This window comes from Homo sapiens, chromosome 3 (assembly GCF_000001405.40).
Source record: "Homo sapiens chromosome 3, GRCh38.p14 Primary Assembly".
Classification (NCBI taxonomy): Eukaryota; Metazoa; Chordata; class Mammalia; order Primates; family Hominidae; genus Homo; species Homo sapiens.
The window spans coordinates 34,457,975-34,478,252 of NC_000003.12; positions in this window are offsets into that span (position 1 = coordinate 34,457,975).

Sequence of the window (20,278 nt, forward strand, 5' to 3'; positions counted from 1 at the left end):
CCATGTGCACTTGAAAGGAATGTGCATTCTTCAGCTATGTAATAGAATGCTTTGTATATGTCTGTTAGGTTCATTTGTTTAAAAGTACAGTTTAAGTCAAATATAGCCTTATCGATTTTTTTTGGATTATCTATTGTAGAATGTGGGATAATGAGGTCCACTACTATTATTATATTGCTGTCTACTTTCCCTCCAGTTGTTAATATTTATTTTATATATTTAGGAACTTGACATTGAGTTAATATATATTTACAATTGTTATATTCTCTTGATCAGTTGATCCCTTTATCATTATATAATGATCTTTATCTCTTGCAACATTTTTTTACTCAGATTCTATTTTACTTGATATAAATGTAGTCACCACTACTCTCTTATGGTTTTTATTTGCATAGAATATTTTTTCCATTCCTGCCCTTTCACCCTTTGTGTGTCTTTGAAACCAAGATTAGTGTCTCCTAGGTAGCACATAGTTTGATTTTTGTTTTATTATTCATTCAGCCACTTTATGTCTTATTAATTTAATCCACTTACATTTAAAGTACTTTTTCATAGGGAAGGCATTAGCAATGCCATTTTATTGTGTTCTCACAATTTTTAAAGTTTCTTCACTCCTTTCTTACTGTCTTGCTGTCTTTCTTTATGAGTCACTGGACCTTTTTTAGTAGTATTCTCTGAATTTTTGCTTTATTTTTGTGTATCTACTATATGTTTTTGTCTTGTGATTACCATAATGCTTATATAAAACTGCTTATAGAGATAACAGTCTAATTTTAAGCACACAAATTAATTCATTTTTTTGCATACAAAACTATATTTATACTCTCTCCATCATATTATGTGCTATTTATGTCACACTTTACATCTTTTTTATCAAGTATCAAATTACTGTAGTTTAGCTGTTTTTAATACTTTTGTTTTCTAACTTTTATGTGTGTTAAAAGTGATTACACTCTGCTATTAGAAAATTAGAATATTCTGAATTTGATCTTATCTTTATTTTTAGGCTTTATACTTTCATGTTTCACACTGTTACTTAGTATACTTTAATTTAAACTTAAAAAGCTCCCTTTAGCATTTCCTGTAAGGTAGGTCCAGTGGTGATAAACTCCCTTAGCTTTTGTTTGGTCTAGGAATATCTTTATCTCTCCTTAATTTCTAAGTAATAGCTTTGCTGAATATCATATTCTTGGTTGACAGGCTTTTTTCTCCCCTCTGTCAGCACTTTGACTGTATTATACGACTTCTTCCTAGGCTGCAATGTTTCTGCTGAGAAATCTGCTGGATGACCTTATGTTATTTTTCCCTTGTATGTGAAGTGTCCTTTTTCTCTCACTGCTTTCAAATTTATCTCATTTTCTTTGACTTTTTACAATTTGAATATAATGTGTCTAGGGCAATCTTTGTGTTGAGTTTGCTTGGAAACTTTTGAGATTCATAAATCTGGATACTTATATCCCTCTCATGACTTGGACATTTTTCATTCATTATTTCTTTAAGAAATCTCCTGTTCTTTTCTCTCTCTCTTCTCTTTCTGAGAAATTCATATTGTATATATTCATTCATTTAATGAAATGCCATAGATCTCATACTTTCTTCACTTTTTTCATGTTTTTTTGATCCTCTAACTGGCTAATTTCCAATGACTTTTATTTGATTTTGCTGATTCTTCTGCATGATCAAGTCTACTTTTGAAGCTCTCTATTAGGTTTTTTAAGTTCCATTATTGCATTCTTTAGCTCCAGGATTTTCATTTGATTCATTTTTATGATTTCTACTTTTTATTAAACGTTTCATTTTGTTCTTGTATTATTTTTGTAAGTTTGTCTAGTTGTCTGTCTGTATTCTTTTTCATCTCATTGAACTTCCTTGAGATAATTATTTTAAATTTTTTTGTCAGAAAATTCTTTGATTTTTTTTTCTTTGTCATTGGTTACTATAGCTTTATTGTTTTTCTGTGGGTCATGTTTGCTTGATTCTTCATGATCAGTGTAGCCTTGCAATGGTATATGTGCCTTTGAAGTAGAAACCGTCTCTTCCAGTTTTTATTTACTATTTTTAGTAGTTAAAGATCTTTTTATCTTGGGTTCCTAGGCTGATGGGATAACCTCCTCAGTTGCAATCAGGAAGGATTAGAGTTAGGTTGCACAGCTACTGCTGGGTCCACAGTAGGGTCTGTGATTTGTGGACCTGTTACCAGGGACCTGAACATCAATGATCCTGTCTCATCCCTAGGTGAACTGGACTGCCTTTAGTACCTTGCCCAGAATGGCTGGTGCTAGGACAAGGATCTATTTCATGGTCTTCAGTTAGAAGACAGTGAGCCCGTTACTGCATGTGCAGATGGGTGTGGCTCCTGCCAAGTCCCAGAGAGGGCTCCTTCCAGTTCAAGAAGTGGTCCTTGAGCAGGCAGGACACATCATTGTCTGAGGATTAATGGGGCTGGAATTAAGTTACTGGGCTCTTTCAAGATCCTTATTTGGACTGAGGTTAGTAGGCCTGGTTCTGGGGGCATATGCAGACAATGTGCTGGATTACCTACAGATGAGTGTGTCTCCTGCCTTGTCCTTGGGTGGGTAGAGCTGCTCTTGCATCACAGCTGAGAAGGGCCAAAACTGAGTTACAGAGTTATTTCTAGTTTCAGAGTTGGACTAAGATCAACAGCCCTGCCTCTAGAAACATGGACAAGTGTGTCCCCTTCCAGGACCCTGGGTGGGCAGGACTGCTTATGTACGGGGGCCAAAGCCAGGTCATGGTCTACTTTAGGGTCCAGAGCTGGGATTAAATTTGGTGGGCCTCTTACAGGATGCATGGGAAAGTGTGGCTCTTAGATCTCTTGGTTAATGCTGCTGGTGATGAAATGAAGGCCAAATTGGGCTACAGCCAAGCCCCCAGTGGGATAAGGCAACTTCTGGGTTTGTAGTCAGAACTATGGTCAGTGAACCTGGACCTGGGTGCAGGCCTGCTTTCTCAAAAAGGTTTTCCTTGGTCTTAGACTTCACGAGGGATTTGTAAACTCCTATCTAGATCCCAAAGCTCTTGGAAAGGCACTTTTATGTGGGGATGGGTGCCAAATTATTGTTGCTGTGAGGGGATACAAGCAGGAGACCTCATATGCTGTTATATTGCTGCCATTACCCAGACTTTTGCAATTCTTAATGAATTAATGAATTTAGGCAATTAGGTGAAAAGCCATTGGTAGAAAGGTTGATGGGATTTTTATAAAGATTTTATAAAGATTAATGGGGAAATCAGGCTAACAACACTTGCCTATTGACCAATATTAGCATCACTAAAATTGAAAAAGACATATCATTAAGTGGCTTATTATATTTAATATTACCTTTGAAGTATTCTTACCTAAAAAATTGAATCTAAAATCTAATCATTCTTCTAATTATCAATTTATAGTAAACATGAGGGAAAGATCAACAGTCTAAAAGACAGCAGAAAAATACAGAATTTTTTGGGATAAACGACTATTTCTCTACAAATCAATGTCATAAAAAGGGTAAATATTGGTTAAGACTAAAGAAAATTTTAAAAAATTTGCTGGATAACTTGCAAAAATGATCATGGACAGGGGACGTGATTTTTCTTCTTATCAAAGAGTAGAGTTTATTGTTTTACTCTTTGTATTTGGTTTGGCCTTGTAACTTGCCTTGACAAATAGAATCCAGCAGAATTCACAGTGTGCAAGTTCTGGAGCCTACACCTGAAGAAGGCTTATAGATTATATTCTTGCACTTTTAGAGTCTTTTTTTTTTATTTTTTGTGATGGGATCTTGCTCTGTCACCCAGGCTGGAGTGCAGTGGTGCAATCATGTCTTGTTGCAGCCTCAACCTCTTGAGCTCAAGTAATCCTCCCACCTCAGAGTCCCGAGGAGCTAGGACCACAGGTGTCCTCCACTATGCCCAGCTAATTTTTTTTTTTTTTGGAAGATAGGGTCTCACTGTATTGCCCAGGCTGGTCTCTAACTCCTGGGCTCAAGCTGTCCTTCCACCTCAGCCTCACAAATTGCTGGGATTACAGGCCACCACACCTGGCTCAACTTTTGGAGTCCTGAGACTGTTTTACTTCATAAGCCCAGGCTAACTTCCTTGAGGATAAGACTATGTGGAGAGAAAGACCCATATGACAGCTGCATCATTCACTAGATAGGTGATGAAGCCATCTTGGACTATCTGTTTTTGCTAAAGCTACCAGCTGGCTGCTACCACATAAAGGACCCTAGGCAACATTTGCAGAAGAACCACTCATCTGAGCCCAGGCAAAATTGTTGACCTGTGGCATACAGAGCTAATAAATTATTCTTGTTTTTAAGCCACTGAATTTAGAAGTGGTCATTATACAGTAGGAGATTGCTAAAGCAGAGTTATAATAATCAAATACAATATGTGGATCCTACTGGATCGACATTCAAACAAATCACCTGTAAAAAGGATCTTTTGAGATAAATAAGGAAATTTGAGCATGGATTGCATATTAGATAATGTCAAAAAATTATTTTAATTTTATCAGTTGTTTTATAATGTAAACAAAAATGATATAGAGATGCACACTGTAGATTTATCAGGGAAATGCCCTGATATATGGGATTTGTTTTAAAATAACCAAAGAAAGAAAGGCATGGGAGACATAGATAAAACAAAATTGGTAAGATGTTGATAATTATTGAAGTTGAGTGATGTGTTCATGGTTTATATGATATTCTCTCAACATCTCATTTTGTTTTAAATGTCTTTTGTATTAAAGATTTTTTAAAGAAAATATCAATTGTTCTTAGTAGCCTCTCAACAAGCATTCATTTTCAACCTGTGGATCCCTTCTCTGCCTTTTCCAACGTTTTCCAGGGTTGGCTCATTTGGAAAGATCTCTGGGTGAAGCTTCTCGTGGACTCTGTTAATTGTTGTATTAATAGGGTTTAGGAACCATTAAGACTGTCACACAGTAGGAACTGCCAGTTTTATATTAATTTCAGCAGGGGTGCTGGGAACCTTCATATAGGAGCTGTCCACAATCCTGGCAGCCCCATTATTCATGTTTTTATTTTTAAGAAAGAGGTTTTGTTTGACATCATAGAGGAATAAATTAATGTGACCCATCTGCAGTCTAATTCCTGTAGAGAATCTAGTTGTTAGCTAGGTAATAGTCTAGCTCTTCGAGGTGACTAAAGTCCTTAAACTTGTTAATTTAGCTGAGGAAGAAATAGCTGCAGTGAATTCCCCTTTAGGAGTGTTATAGATGTGAGTCTGGATCATGTCATCTTAGCAAAAGCAGGTTTGAAAATTCCGTCGAGGGCTGATTTGTATGTGTAGAAGGTGGCCAGTCTGGTATAAACAGGTTCTCTGGTATGGAAGTGGTGTACCTGAACATCGCTATGTCTAGAGAAAGATGAAGTGAGAAATAATGCCATTATTGAGAATAAGCCACCAAGAGACCTGGATTTTTATAAAATATAAAAATAGAAAGGAGTGAAGCAAAGTAACCTATAAACCTCTTTACTTCCCCATCCCCCGGCTTCCTACAAATTCCAAACAGACAGCTACAACATACTTTGGGCCTGCTGCAGGCCATGTTCCATGTTAAATATTCCACATGCCTGATCTTATTTAGTTCTTACTAAAATCTGCACAGTTTGCATTATTTGTTTCATTTAAAGATGAACAATCTTAGGGCAGAGAGGCTACCTAACTGTCCCAACTCTTCCTTATTCCAGTACTACCTCATAAATACAGAATGGGCTCTGAGCTGAGTCATTTTGCAGAAATCAGAGATCACATTTATTTGATTAAAGCCATAAAATCAAGAGGAGCTGTTCCAATGTTTGGGCCATCCCAACAATCAAGGAAATCATTATCAGGCTTTACTGAAGATGATTGATTTGATTACCGTATATAAACCCATGCAGATTATAACTAGAATATTTTGTGGTTTCACATCCAATTTGAAAAAAATGCTACTTTTTTCAACATATATGACTCACATATATGTATGTAAAACATAAGGCAGGGACAAAAATACATCAAAGTTGGTTGTATTTCTTCTAAACCAGTCCTAATAATAATTAAATAACACTTTGTACAAAATGCTTTCACTTTTGGTTCACCTATGGGCTAGGATATTTTAGGAGAAAGATAAGCTTTTAAATCAGAAGGAAGCTGAGATTCAGTTCTAGCAATGTTCCTTTTCAAAGCGGTATTTTGATGAATTAATATCTCTGAGCCTTGGCTTTTTTATTTGTCTAACAAAAATAATGATGTTTGTAACCCACGAAGGAAGAAATGACATTTTGTAACAAAGCTTCCTGCACAGCATCTGACAAAGAATTTTCCTCTCATTGAATGGAAATATTTGATTTTTTATGTATTAAACTTTATTTCTATCCCATGATCAATGTGTTGTTGGACCATTTTGTACAACTTAATGAACATTGGTAATAACAAGGTTATAGCCAATGATGGTAAGATTAAGGGATGTTAATAAAATAGAATTTTGTGGAACATGTTGATTCTCATATTTGAAGTGAGAATAAAGGTGGTAAAAATAACCCAGGGTAGGCTACTTATGATGCGCCACCATGTAGTCAACTTTCATACATTGGGAAGGGGGTGTCTATCTTTTCCCAATTTAGCATTCCTTCAAGAGTGCCATGCAGACAGTGGAGCAGGTGAGTCAATATGAATGGGCAGCTGCTTGACTTACCACTTGCACTGACTTGAGCAGAGTCTGGTGGAGAAGCACAGGCACAAATTTATCATGATATATGTCACATTCTTCTTATTGTCGATGTGATTTAAAAAATGACAACCTTTTTCCAAACTCCTCAGAGTTTTTCCCAAGAGGAAGCCAAATAGAACATATGGCCATGTCTTTTTCTCTTTCTGTTTTTACACTTTATTTGCATGTGGTAATTCTTATTATAATGCCTTTGAATTTTGACTAAGACCTTTAATCCTATTTCATCAGACCGCTACCGTGTTTTTGGCTTCCTTTAGTGTTGTGGTTTAAAATACTACAAACCTTCCCACATTTTTGCATGTTTTCTAGCCTTATTCGTCTTTTTCTCTCCTATAAGTTCTGACTATTTCATTTGATGCTGACCAGCAACTTTCCTTTAACTTGAGATTTTTCCATATTCTACAAAATAGATCCTCTGATTTCTGTTTAGCATTTCCTACGCAAAATTATGTGGCTACTATACCTTCGAAAACCCAAATTCTTGTTCTCTCAAGTTGCCATTATACATCATAAAATTCTGAAAAAAGATCTTTTTAAAAATTGGGCAACACAATGCAAAGCATAACTTTATTGTTATCTAAGGATGTGTTTTCACACCCCACTCCAGAGGTTCCAGGAGATAGGCAGGTTATGAGGTGCTTCTCATTCTCTTTCTCCTGGGAAAAGTCAGCTGAAAACTGTGACTAAGAGAATTCTGATTTCTGAAATATGGCTCTTTCTTTTTGACCCTCTTGTTATCACTTGCACTTTGAAAGGAAGTGGGGAAATGAGGGGTGAGGGAAACAGAAGAGAATAGACTCGAAATCAAAAGACCTACTTTCTTTCTTTTTTTTGCATTTATTTATTTATTTTACTCTAAGTTCTGGGGTACATGTGTAGAACGTGCATGTTTGTTACATAGGTATGCACGTACCATTGTGGTTTGCTGCACCCATCAACCCATCATCTACATTAGGTATTTCTCCAAATGCTATCCCCAAGCCCCCCACCCCCCGACAGGCCCTTGTGTGTGATGTTCCCCTCTCTGTGTCCATGTGTTCTCATTGTTCAGCTCCCGCTTATGAGTGAGAACATGCAGTGTTTGATTTTCTGTTCTTGTGTTAGTTTGCTGAAAATGATGGTTTCCAGCGTCATCCATGTCCCTGCAAAGGACATGAACTCATCCTTTTTTTATGGCTGCACAGTATTCCATGGTGTATCTGTGTCACATTTTCTTTACCCAGTCTATCATTGGTGAGTATTTGGGTTGGTTTCAAGTCTTTGCTATTGTGAACAGTGCCGCGATAAACATATGTGTGCATGTGTCTTCATAGTAGAATGATTTATAATCCTTTGGGTATATACCCGGTAATGGGATTGTTGGGTCAAATGGTATTTCCAGTTCTAGAGCCTTGAGGAATCGCCACACTGTCTTCCACAATGGTTGAACTAATTTACACTCCCACCAACAGTGTAAAAACATTCCTATTGTTCCACATCCTCCCCAGCATCTGTCGTTTACTGACTTTTTAATGATTGCCATTCTAACTGGCATAAGATGGTATCTCATTGTGGTTTTGATTTGCATTTCTCTAATGACCAGTGATGATGAGCTTTTTATTATTATTATTATTATTATTATTATACTTTAAGTTCTAGGGTACATGTGCACAACATGCAGGTTTGATACATAGGTATGTATACATGTGCCATGTTTGTTTGCTGCACTCATCAACTCATCATTTACATTAGGTATTTCTGCAAATGCTATCTCCAAGCCCCCCACCCCCTGACAGGCCCTTGTGTGTGATGTTCCCCACCCTGTGTCCACTGATCTCATTGTTCAATTCCCACCTATGAGTGAGAACATGCGGTGTTTGGTTTCTGTCCTCGTGATAGTTTGCTCAGTATGATGGTTTCCAGCTACATCCATGTCCCTTCAAAGGACATGGACTCATCTTTTTTATGGTTACATAGTATTCCATGGTGTATATGTGCTACAGTTTCTTAAGCCAGTCTATCATTGATGGAAATTTGGGTTGATTCCAAGTCGTTGCTATTGTGAAAATGCCGCAATAAACATACGTGTACACATGTCTTTACAGTAGCATGATTTATAATCCTTTGGGTATATACCCAGTAATGGGATTGCTGGGTCAAATGGTAATTCTAGTTCTAGATCCTTGAGGAATCACCACACTGTCTTCCACAATGGTTGAACTAATTTACACTCCCACAGACAGTGACAGTGTAAAAGCATTCTTATTTCTCTACAACCTCTCCAGCATCTGTTGTTTCCAGACTTTTTAATGATTGCCATTCTAACTGGTGTGAGATGGTATCTCATTGTGGTTTTGATTTGCATTTCTCTGATGACCAGTGATGATGAACATTTTTTCATGTGTCTGTTGGTTTCTTTTGAGACGTGTCTATTCATATCCTTCGCCCACTTTTTGATGGGGTTGTTTGTTTTTTTTTCTTGTAAATTTGAGTTCCTTGTAGATTCTGGATATTAGCCCTTTGTCAAAGGGTAGATTGCAAAAATTTTCTCCCATTCTGTAGGTTGCCTGTTCACTCTGATGGTAGTTTGTTTTGCTGTGCAGAAGCTCTTTAGTTTCATTAGATCCCATTTGTCTATTTTGGCTTTTGTTGCCATTGCTTTTGGTGTTTTAGTCATGAAGTCATTGCCCATGCCTATGTCCTAAATGGTAGTGCTTAGGTTTTCTTGTAGGGTTTTTATGGTTTTAGGTCTAACATTTAAGTCTTTAATCCATCTTGAATTAATTTTTGTATAAGGTGTAAGGAAGGGATCCAGTTTCAGCTTTCTACATATGGTTAGCCAGTTTTCCCAGCACCATTTATTAAATAGGGAATCCTTTCCCCATTTCTTGTTTTTGTCAGGTTTATCAAAGAGCAGATGGTTGTAGATGTGTGGTGTTATTTCTGAGGCCTCTGTTCGGTTCCATTGGTCTATATATCTGTTTTGGTACCAGTACTTTGCTGTTTTGGTTATGGTAGCCTTGTAGTATAGTTTGAAGTCAGGTAGCATGATGCCTCCAGCTTTGTTCTTTTGGCTTAGGACTGTCTTGACAATGCAGGCTCTTTTTTGGTTCCATATGAACTTTAAAGTATTTTTTTCCAATTCTGTGAAGAAAGTCATTGGTAGCTTGATGGGGATGGCATTGAATCTATAAATTACCTTGGGCAGTATGGCCATTTTCACGATATTGATTCTTCCTACCCATGAGCATGGAATGTTCTTCCATTTGTTTGTATCCTCTTTTATTTCATCAAGCAGTGGTTTCTAGTTCTCCTTGAAGAAATCCTTCACATCCCTTGTAAGTTGGATTCTTAGGTATTTTATTCTCTTTGTAGCAATTGTAAATGGGAGTTAACTCATGATTTGGCTTTCTGTTTGTCTGTTAATGGTGTATAGGAATGCTTGTGATTTTTGCACATTGATTTTGTATCCTGAGACTGCTGAAGTTGCTTATCAGCTTAAGGAGATTTTGGGCTGAGATAATGGGGTTTTCTAAATATACAATCACGTCATCTGCAAACAGGGACAATTTGACTTCCTCTTTTCCTAATTGAATACCCTTTATTTCCTTCTGCCTGATTGCCCTGGCCAGAACTTCCAACACTATGTTGAATAGGAGTGGAGAGAGAGGGCATCCTTGTCTTGTGCCAGTTTTCAAAGGGAATGCTTCCAGTTTTTTGCCCATTCAGTATGATATTGGCTGTGGGTTTGTCATAAATAGCTCTTATTATTTTGACATATGTCCCATCAATACCTAGTTTGTTAGCATGAAGGGCTGTTGAATTTTGTTGAAGTCCTTTTCTGCATCTATTGAGATAATCATGTGGTTTTTGTCATTGATTCTGTTTATGTGATGGATTACATTAATTGTTTTGCATATGTTGAACCAGCCTTGTATCCCAGGGATGAAGCCTACTTGATCATGGTGGATAAGCTTTTTGATGTGCTGCTGGATTCAGTTCGCCAGTGCTTTCTTGAGGATTTTTACATTGACGTTCATCAGAAATATTGGTCTAAAAGTCTCTTTTTTTGTTGTGTCTCTGCCAGGCTTTGGTATCACGATAATGTTGGCCTCGTAAAATGAGTTAGGGAGGATTCCATCTTTTTCTATTGACGGGAAAATTTTCAGAAGGAATGGTACCAGCTCCTCTTTTTACATCTGGTAGAATTCAGCTGTGAATCCTTCTGGTCCTGGACTTTTTTTGGTTGGTAGGCTATTAATTATTGCCTCAATTTCGGAGCCTGTTATTTGTCTATTCAGAGATTCACCTTCTTCCTGGTTTAGTCTTGGGAGGGTGTATGTGTCAAGGAATTTATCCATTTCTTCTAGATTTTCTAGTTTATTTGCAGAGAGGTGTTTATAGTATTCTCTGATGGTAGTTTGTATTTCTGTGGGATCAGTGGTGATATCCCCTTTATAATTTTTTATTGTGTCTATTTGATTCTTCTCTCTTTTCTTCTTTATTAGTCTTGCTAGCAATCTATCAATTTTGTTGATCTTTTCAAAAAACCAGCATCTGGATTCATTGATTTTTTTGAAGGGTTTTTTATGTCTGTATCTCTTTCAGTTCTGCTCTGATCTTAGTTATTTCTTGCCTTCTGCTAGCTTTTGAATGTGTTTCCTCTTGCTTCTGTAGTTCTTTTAATTGTGATGTTAGTGTGTCGATTTGAGATATTTCCTCCTTCCTCTTGTGGGCATTTAGTGCTATAAATTTCTCTCTACATACTGCTTTAAATTTGTCCCAGAGATTCTGGTACATTGTGTCTTTGTTCTCATTGTTTTCAAAGAACATCTTTATTTCTGCCTTCATTTTGTTATTTACCCAGTAGTCATTCAGCAGCAAGTTGTTCAGTTTCCATGTAGTTGTGTGGTTTTGAGTGAGTTTCTTAATACTGAGTTCTAGTTTGATTGCACTGTGGTCTGAGAGACAGTTTGTTGTGATTTCTGTTCTTTTACATTTGCTGAGGAGTGCTTTACTTCCAACTATGTGGTCAATTTTAGAATAAGGTCAATGTGGTGCTCAGAAGAGTGTATATTCTGTTGATCTGGGATGGAGAGTTCTGTAGATGTCTATTAGGTCTGCTTGTTGCAGAGCTGAGTTCAAGTCCTGGATATCCTTGTTAACCTTCTGTCTCATTGATCTGTCTAATATTGACATTAGGGTGTTAAAGTCTCCCATTATTATTATGTGGGAGTCTAAGTCTCTTTGTAGGTCTCTAAGGACTTGCTTTATGAATCTGGGTGCTCCTGTATTGGGTGCATATATATTTAGGATAGTTAGCTCTTCTTGTTGAATTGATCCCTTTACCATTATGTAATGGCCTTCTTTGTCTCTTTTCATCTTTGTTGGTTTAAAGTCTGTTTTATCAGAGGCTAGGATTGCAACCTGTGCTTTTTTTTTGCTTTCCATTTGCTTGGTGGATCTTCCTCCATCCCTTTATTTTGAGCCTATGTCCGTCTTTGTATGTGAGATGGGTCTCCTGAATATAGCACACTGATGGGTCTTGACTCTTTATCCAATTTTTCAGTCTGTGTCGTTTAATTGGGGTATTTAGCCCATTTACATTTAAGGTTAATATTGTTATGTGTGAATTTGATCCTGTCATTGTGATGTTAGCTGTTATTTTGCCCATTAATTGATGCAGTGTCTTCATAGTATCGATGGTGTTTACAATTTGGCATGTTTTTGTGGTGGCTGGTACCAGTTTCTTCTTTCCATGTTTAGCGCTTCCTTCAGGAGCTCTTGTAAGGTAGGCCTGGTGGTAACAAAATCTCTCAGCATTTGCTTGTCTGTAAACGATTTTATTTCTCCTTCACTTATGAAGCTTAGTTTGGCTAGATATGGAATTCTGGGTTGAAAATTCTTTTCTTTAAGAATGTTGAATATTGGTCCCCAATCTGTTCTGGCTTGTTGGGTTTCTGCCAAGAGATCCACTGTTAGTCTGAAGGGCTTCCCTTTGTGGGTCACTCGACCTTTCTCTCTGGCTGCCCTTAACACTTTTCCTTAATTTCAACCTTGGTGATTCTGACAATTATGTGTCTTGGGGTTGCTCTTCTCGAGGCATATCTTTGTGGTGTTCTCTGTATTTCCTGAATTTGTATGTTGACCTGCCTTGCTATGTTGGGGAAATTCTCCTGGATAATACCGTGAAGAGTGTTTTCCAACTTGGTTCCATTCTCCCCATCACTTTCAGGTACACCAATCAAACATAGATTTGGTCTTTTCACATAATCCCATATTCCTTGGAGGCTTTGTTCTTTTTTTTTACTCTTTTTTCTCTAACCTCGTCTTCTTGCTTTATTTCATTAATTTGATTTTCAATCACTGATACCCTTTCTTCCACCATATCAAATCAGCTATTGAAGCTTGTGCATGCATCATGAAGTTCTCATGCCATGGTTTTCAGCTCCATCAGGTCATTTAAGTTCTTCTCTACACTGTTCATTCTAATTAGCCATTCGTCTAATCTTTTTTCAAGGTTTTTAGCTTCCTTGTGATAGTTTTGAACATCCTCCTTTAGCTCAGAGTGGTTTGTTATTACTGACCTTCTGAAGCCTACTTCTGTCAATTCGTCAAAGTCATTCTCCGTCCACATTTGTTCCATTGCTGGTGTGGAGCTGCGATCCTTTGGAGAAGAGATGCTCTGATTTTTGATTTTTCAGCTTTTCTGCTCTGGTTTCTCCCCATCTTTGTGGTTTTATCTATCTTTGGTCTTTGATGTTTGTGACCTACAAATGTGATTTTGGTGTAGATGATCTTTTTGTTGATATTGATCCTATTCTTTTCTGTTTGTTAGTTTTCCTCTAACAGTCAGGTCCCTCAGCTGCAGGTCCATTGGAGTTTGCTGGAGGTCCAATCCAGACCCTGTTTTCCTGGGATAGGGCAGCTGTCTATATGAGGTGTCTGTTGGCCCCTACTGGGAGATGTCTCCCAGTTAGGCTACATGGGGGTCAGGGACCCACTTGAGGAGGCACTCTGTCTGTTCCCAGAGCTCAAACACCATGCTGGGAGAGCCACTGCTCTCCTCAGGGCTGTCACACAGGGATGTTTAAGTCTGCAGAAGTTGTCTGCTGCCTTTTTTTCAGCTATGCCCTGCCCACAGAGGTGGAGTCTTGAGGCAGTGGGCCTTGTTGAGTTGTGGTGGGGTCCACCCATTTCGAGCTTCCTGGCCGCTTTGTTTACCTACTCAAGCCTCAGCAGTGGCAGATGCCCCTCCCCCAGGTAGGCTGTGGCCTCGAAGTTGGATCTCAGACTGCTGTGCTAGCAGTGAGCCAGGCTCCGTGGGCATGGGACCCACCGAGCCAGGCACAGGGAAAACCTCCTTGTCTGCCAGTTGCTAAGACCTTGGGAAAAGCACAGTATTTTGGCGGGAGTATTCTTTTTTTCCAGGAAGTCTGTCACGGCTTCCCTTGGCTAGGAAAGGGATATCCCCCAACCCCTTGTGCTTCCGGGGTGAGGTGATGCCCTGCCCTGCTTTAGCTTGCCTTCCATGGGCTGCACCCACTGTCCAACCATCCCAATGAGATGAACCAGTTACCTCAGTTGGAAATGCAGAAATCACCCATCTTCTGTGTTGATCACACTGGGAGCTGCAGACCAGAGCTATACCTATTCGGCCATCTTGGAATGCTCCCCAGTGAGCTTTTTTTCGTATGTTTGTTGGCTGCCTAAATGTCTTCTTTTGAGGAGTGTCTGTTCATATCCTTTGCCCACTTTTTGATGGGGTTGTTTGTTTTTTTCTTGTAAGTTTGTTTAAGTTCTTTGTAGATTCTGGATATTAGCCCATTGTCAGATGGATAGATTGTGAAAATTTTCTCCCATTCTGTAGGTTGCCTGTTCACTCTGATGATAATTTCTTTTGCTGTGCAGAAGCTCTTTAGTTTACTCAGATCCCATTTGTCTATTTTGACTTTTATTGTCATTGTTTTTGGTATTTTAGTCATGTGATCTTTGCCCATGCCAATGTCCTGAATGGTATTGCCTAGGTTTTCTTCTAGGGTTTTTATGGTTTTAGGTCATACATTTAAGTCTTTAATCCATCTCGAGTTAATTTTTTTATAAGGTGAGGAAGGGATCCAGTTTCAGCTTTCTGCATATGGCTAGCCAGTTTTCCCAGCACCATTTATTAAATAGGGAATCCTTTCCTCATTGCTTGTTTTTGTCAGGTTTGTCAAAGATCAGATGATTATAGATGTGTGACGTTATTTCTGATGCCTCTGTTCTGTTCTATTGGTCTATATGTCTCTTTTGGTACCAGTACCATGCTGTTTTTCTTACTGTAGACTTGTAGTATAGTTTGAAGTCAGGTAGCATGATGCCTCCAGCTTTTCTCTTTCTGCTTAGGATTGTCTTGGCTATGCAGGCTCTTTTTTGCTTCCATATGAAATTTAAAGTAGTTTTTTTCAATATTCTGAAGAAAGTCAATGGTAGCTTGATTGAGATAGCATTAAACCTATAAATTACTTTGGGCAATATGGCCATTTTTATAATATTGATTCTTCCTTTCCATGAACATGGACTGTTTTTCCATTTGTTTGTGTCCTCTCTTATTTCCTTGAGCAGTGGTTTGTAGTTCTCCTTGAAGAGGAAAAGACCTACTTTCTTACTCTGGTCACATGGTGCTATGTACAATTATCTGTGTCGTATTGGGCATGCCATTTTATCCTTGGTAAACCTGTTGCCTCATCTGCCAAATGGATTGGACCAGAACATTTTTAAGATATCTTCAGCTTCCACACTCCATGACTATAAGAAAGGGAAGTAGAATGGGAGGATAGAGAAGAAAGGTGGGGTGGATGGGACTTCCCTGAAGAACAGAGAAAACAATTTTTTTGTTGCCCCTTTCTTCCACCCAGAGAATTTCTTGTGCTTTACTGGAGGATGTGTGACTTAGAACAACCTATTGGAAAGCACTTTGACATTATCTTGTACAGCTGAAAATTCTCATGCTCTAAGACCCAGCAATTGTCCTTCTAGGTTTATACCATGAGAAATCATTTGCATGCAGAATAAGAGACACGTACAGGAATGTTTATAGCAATACTAGTGTGGAAGGAAAAATTTGGGAACCTCTCAAATGTCCATCTGAAAGACTAGAGAAATAAATTATCCCAAAGGAAACAATGGCTTCTGATTGTTATTGTAGCCAATTTGAATTTGTTCATGTGGAAAACCTATTGAGTATGTTCTCTTTGCCTGTCACTGTATCAGCTTTGGGTGTTCAACATATCTCTATGGCTAATGCACATTTCCTGCCCTTGTAGAATCCAATATCCTTTTGCTTTTTCTCACAGTATTGACACACTAGTTCAATTTTTCCATTAGTTTTAGAAATAAGGTACTAATATATCAATAGAGTATCTGATCTTGGTGACACTTTCACTGAAACTGTGAAATGCATTATTGTTTTTCATTTAACAGACTAAACTAATTCCTTCTTTTCTTTCCACCTACTTTTTCTCTACATATTTACCTATTTTGGATATGTCATATAAACGGAGACATATAATATGTGGCATTTGGTGACTAGTTTTTTCACTTAGCATAATCTTTTCAAGTTTCATGTGTGTTATACTGCATATCAACACTTTATTTTTATGACTAAATTTTATTTTATTGTTTTGATACACCACATTTTGTTAATCCATTCATCAGTTGATGGACATTTTCATTGTTTCCACTTTTGGGGTATTATGAATAGTGCTGCTATGAACATTTGTGTACAGGTATTATGTGGACAGACATTTCCAATTCTCCTGGGTAAATACTTAGGAGTAGAAGAGATAGATCATATGATAAATCTGTTTATAGCTTTTTGGGGAATTTTCAAATTGTTCTGTAAAGTGGCTGCACCATTTTACAACCCTATCCTCAATATATAAGAACTTCAATTTCTTCACATCTTTTATAACACTTATTATTGTCTGGCTGTATTTTAATCAGTCTATTGGGTGTGAACTGGTATCTTATGCTTTTGACTTGCATTTCTCCAATGTCTAACAATGTTGAGCATCTTTTTATATGAATGTTAAACATTAAGCTTTTGAAAATGTTTAATTTTATTTATTTTTTTACTTGTATTGCAAATTGACAAATTAGAGTTGTATATATTTATACAATATGTAAATTGTATAAAAAGTAAAAAGTGATGTTATGATTCATGAACACACCGTGAAATAATTAAGTCAAGATAATAAACACATCCATCATCTAATATACGTATTCTTTTGGTGAGAACATTTGGAATTTACTGTCTTAGTAATTCTGAAATTTATAATACCCTATTAACTATATTTACCATACTGTGTAATAGATATTTGAAAAACTTTATTTCTTCTATATAACTAAGGTTTTGTATTTTTTGAATATCATATCCCCATTCCCTCCACCACCAGCCTCTGGTAATCACCATTCTATTCCCTGCTTCTATGAGTTTGATTGTTTTAGGTTCCACATATAAGTGAGAGCATGAGGTATTTGTCTTTCTGTGCCTGGCTTATTTCATTTAGGATGATGCTCTCCAATTCTGCCCATGTTGTTGCAAATGGCAGAATTTCTTTATTTTTAAGGTTGAATAGTATTCTCTTGTGTATATATAGCACATTTTTTGATCCATTTACCTGTTGGTGGACACTTAGATTGATTCTATAATTTGGCTATTGAGAATAATGCTGCCAAAAATATAGGAGTGTAAACATGACTTCGACATACTGATTTCAAAAGTTTTGAGTGAATACCCAAAAGTGGGATTGCTGTATCATATGATAAAACTGTTTTTAGTTTTTTGAGGAACCTCCATAGAGCTTTCCATAATGGCTGTACTATTCCACATTTCCATCAGCAGCACACGAGTTCCCTTTCCTCCACATATTGGCCAACACTTATCTTTCATCTTTTTGTTGATAGCCATTCTAACAGGTGTGAAATTATATCACGTTGTGGTTTTAATTTGCATTTTCTTAATGGTTAGTGATGCTGAGATTAAAAAAATATATATTTCTTGGCCATTTCTATTTATTATTTTGAGAAATGTTTATTCAAGTTCCTTGCTCTCCACTTTTTTAAAGAGATGGTGTCTTGCTCTGTTGCCCAAGGCACAGTGCAGTAGTGCCATTATAGCTCACTGTAGCCTCAAACTCCTGGGCTCAAGTGATCCTCCTGAGGCAGGAGAATAGAGAGTTGGAGTAACCAAGGGTTAAGGAAGATGAAAAGAACCAAGGGTTAAGGAAGATGAAAAGAACCAAGGGTTAAGGAAGAGGAAAGCGTTAAGGAAGCAGGTGCAGCCATTTCGCGTAAGTGAAAGAATAGCAGGTGCAGACAGTTCTAGGCAAGATTAGGCAGCATATAGGCCCCATCCTTGCTCTTGTGATAACAAGACAGAAGTTGCCACTTTAGCCTCTGATTGACTGTAGGCCAAGCCTCCACTTCAGCCTCAGATTGGTTGCAGGTCAATCCTTCATAGGGTGAAACCAATTGGAGGCCTTTAAAAGGCACCTGGGGGTGTTGTTAAGTTCTTTTGGCTTTATAAAAACCTCAGGAGCATTGCAATTCAGAGGCTTTTGGGCCGCTTGCTGGAGCCTGCTCCTACTCTGTGAATTGTACTTTTGCTTCTTCAAAGAATCTGTGTCTTTGTTACTCTGTTCTTTTGTTACATTGTTTGTCTTTCGTTGCTTTGCTCTTCCGTTGCTTTGTTTGTGTGTTTTGTTCGATTTTTTGTGCAACACGCCAAGAATCTGGAAAACTCACAGTCAAGACCTTCTAGCTGACATATTTTGGTGAGCCAGCCAGGAGGTAAGCCCAAATTTTGGCATTTATTTTTCCTTCTCTTTCTTTATCAAAGCCATCATTTACAGACATGGATTGGGCAGTTAAAAGCCAGTAGGGCACCTGCTGCTTGAAGTCTCCCATGATAGGATAACTTGGTTATGGAACAGGACATTTAGGTGCTGCTGAGTGCAAGACAAATCCATGCAACAGACAGGTTTTTGTTTGTACGGTGAAATGTCTTTCAGGAGGTTAGAACCCTCCTATGTTCATTTTTAAAAAAATTTTATTTAATTTTATTTTTTGAGACAGAGTCTCCCTCTGTTACCTATGCTAGAGTGCAGTGGCATGATCTCAGCTCACTGCAACCTTCACCTCCTGGCTTCAAGCAATTCTCCTGCCTCAGCCTCCTGAGTAGCTGGGATTATGGCATGCACCACCATGCCTGGCTAATTTTTGTATTTTTAGTAGAGACGTGGTTTCACTATGTTGGCCGGGCTGGTCTCGAACTCCCAACCTCAGGTTTTCTGCCCGCCTTGGCATCCCAAAGTGTTGAGATTACAGGGGATTACAGCCACCGCGTCTGGCCTCTATGTTCGTTTTATTGATGATTTGTGGGGAAAGCAGTAGTGCAGAATTACTTCTTTTTCTTAGAGTGGGGAAAGGGACTTCTGTTTTATGTATTTTTTTTTTCATGAGAACCCATAATTTTTGTTTGTAGAAACAAACCCCGGACTTTGTTAATAGTTTTAAGCTACATTGCAGGGTCCCTTTTTTCATAAAGGTTACAGGATGAAGAAGCTTATTTCACTTGGTAGGAGGCAAAATAGCTGAGTATTGCATCCTGAGATTAAGGGAGTCATAGTAGGTCCATCACTTATGGAGGGAAAACATTCAGAGTAGTGCAATGGCCCACATAATGTCAGAGACATACATCTGACACTCTACAATCAGAGATATCTGAACTAGCTAAAGACTGAAGGGGCCCAGGGCCTTCCTCACTGCCTCTGTCCAGGAACATTCATTACTACTGAGGAGCCCCAGGTAACTCTGGATGTAATGGGTACACAAATTCAGTTTCTTTTTTATACAGGGCTGATTACCCTGTCCTTACTGTTTATGTGGGAAAATGCTCCACTAGGACCACGACTGTTGTAGGAATGGAAGAAAAAAAATAAAGTCAGGCATTTTGCCCCTTCTTTAACCTGATGATTTGAAAAACAAATCTTCCAGCAGGAGTTTGTTACAGAACCAAGCTGCTGTTCACCCTGTTGGGAAGGGATATTGTGGTTAAAATAGGGACACTGCTACAATTTAAGCACTGCCAGGGTCCAATTTTTTTTTCTGCATATGGATATCCAGTTTTCCCAACACTCTTTATTGAAGAGACTATTTTTTTTCCCATTGTGTATCCCTGGCAACTTTTTGAAAATTGATTGACCATACATGTGTGGGTTCCTTGCCCAGCTATCTACTTTGTTCCATTGGACAATATGTCTATTTTTACATCAGTACTATGCTGTTTTAATTACTATTGCTTTATAGTATACTTTGAAATCAGGTAGTGTGATGTCTCCAACTTTGTTCTATTTGCTCATGATTGCTTTAGCTATTCAGGGTTTCTTTTGTGGTTCCATATAAATTTTAGAAGTTTTTTCTATTTCAATGAAAAATGACAATGGAATATTTATAAGGGCTGCATTGAATCTGTAGGTTGCTTTGGATAGTATGGACATCTTAGCAATATTCTTT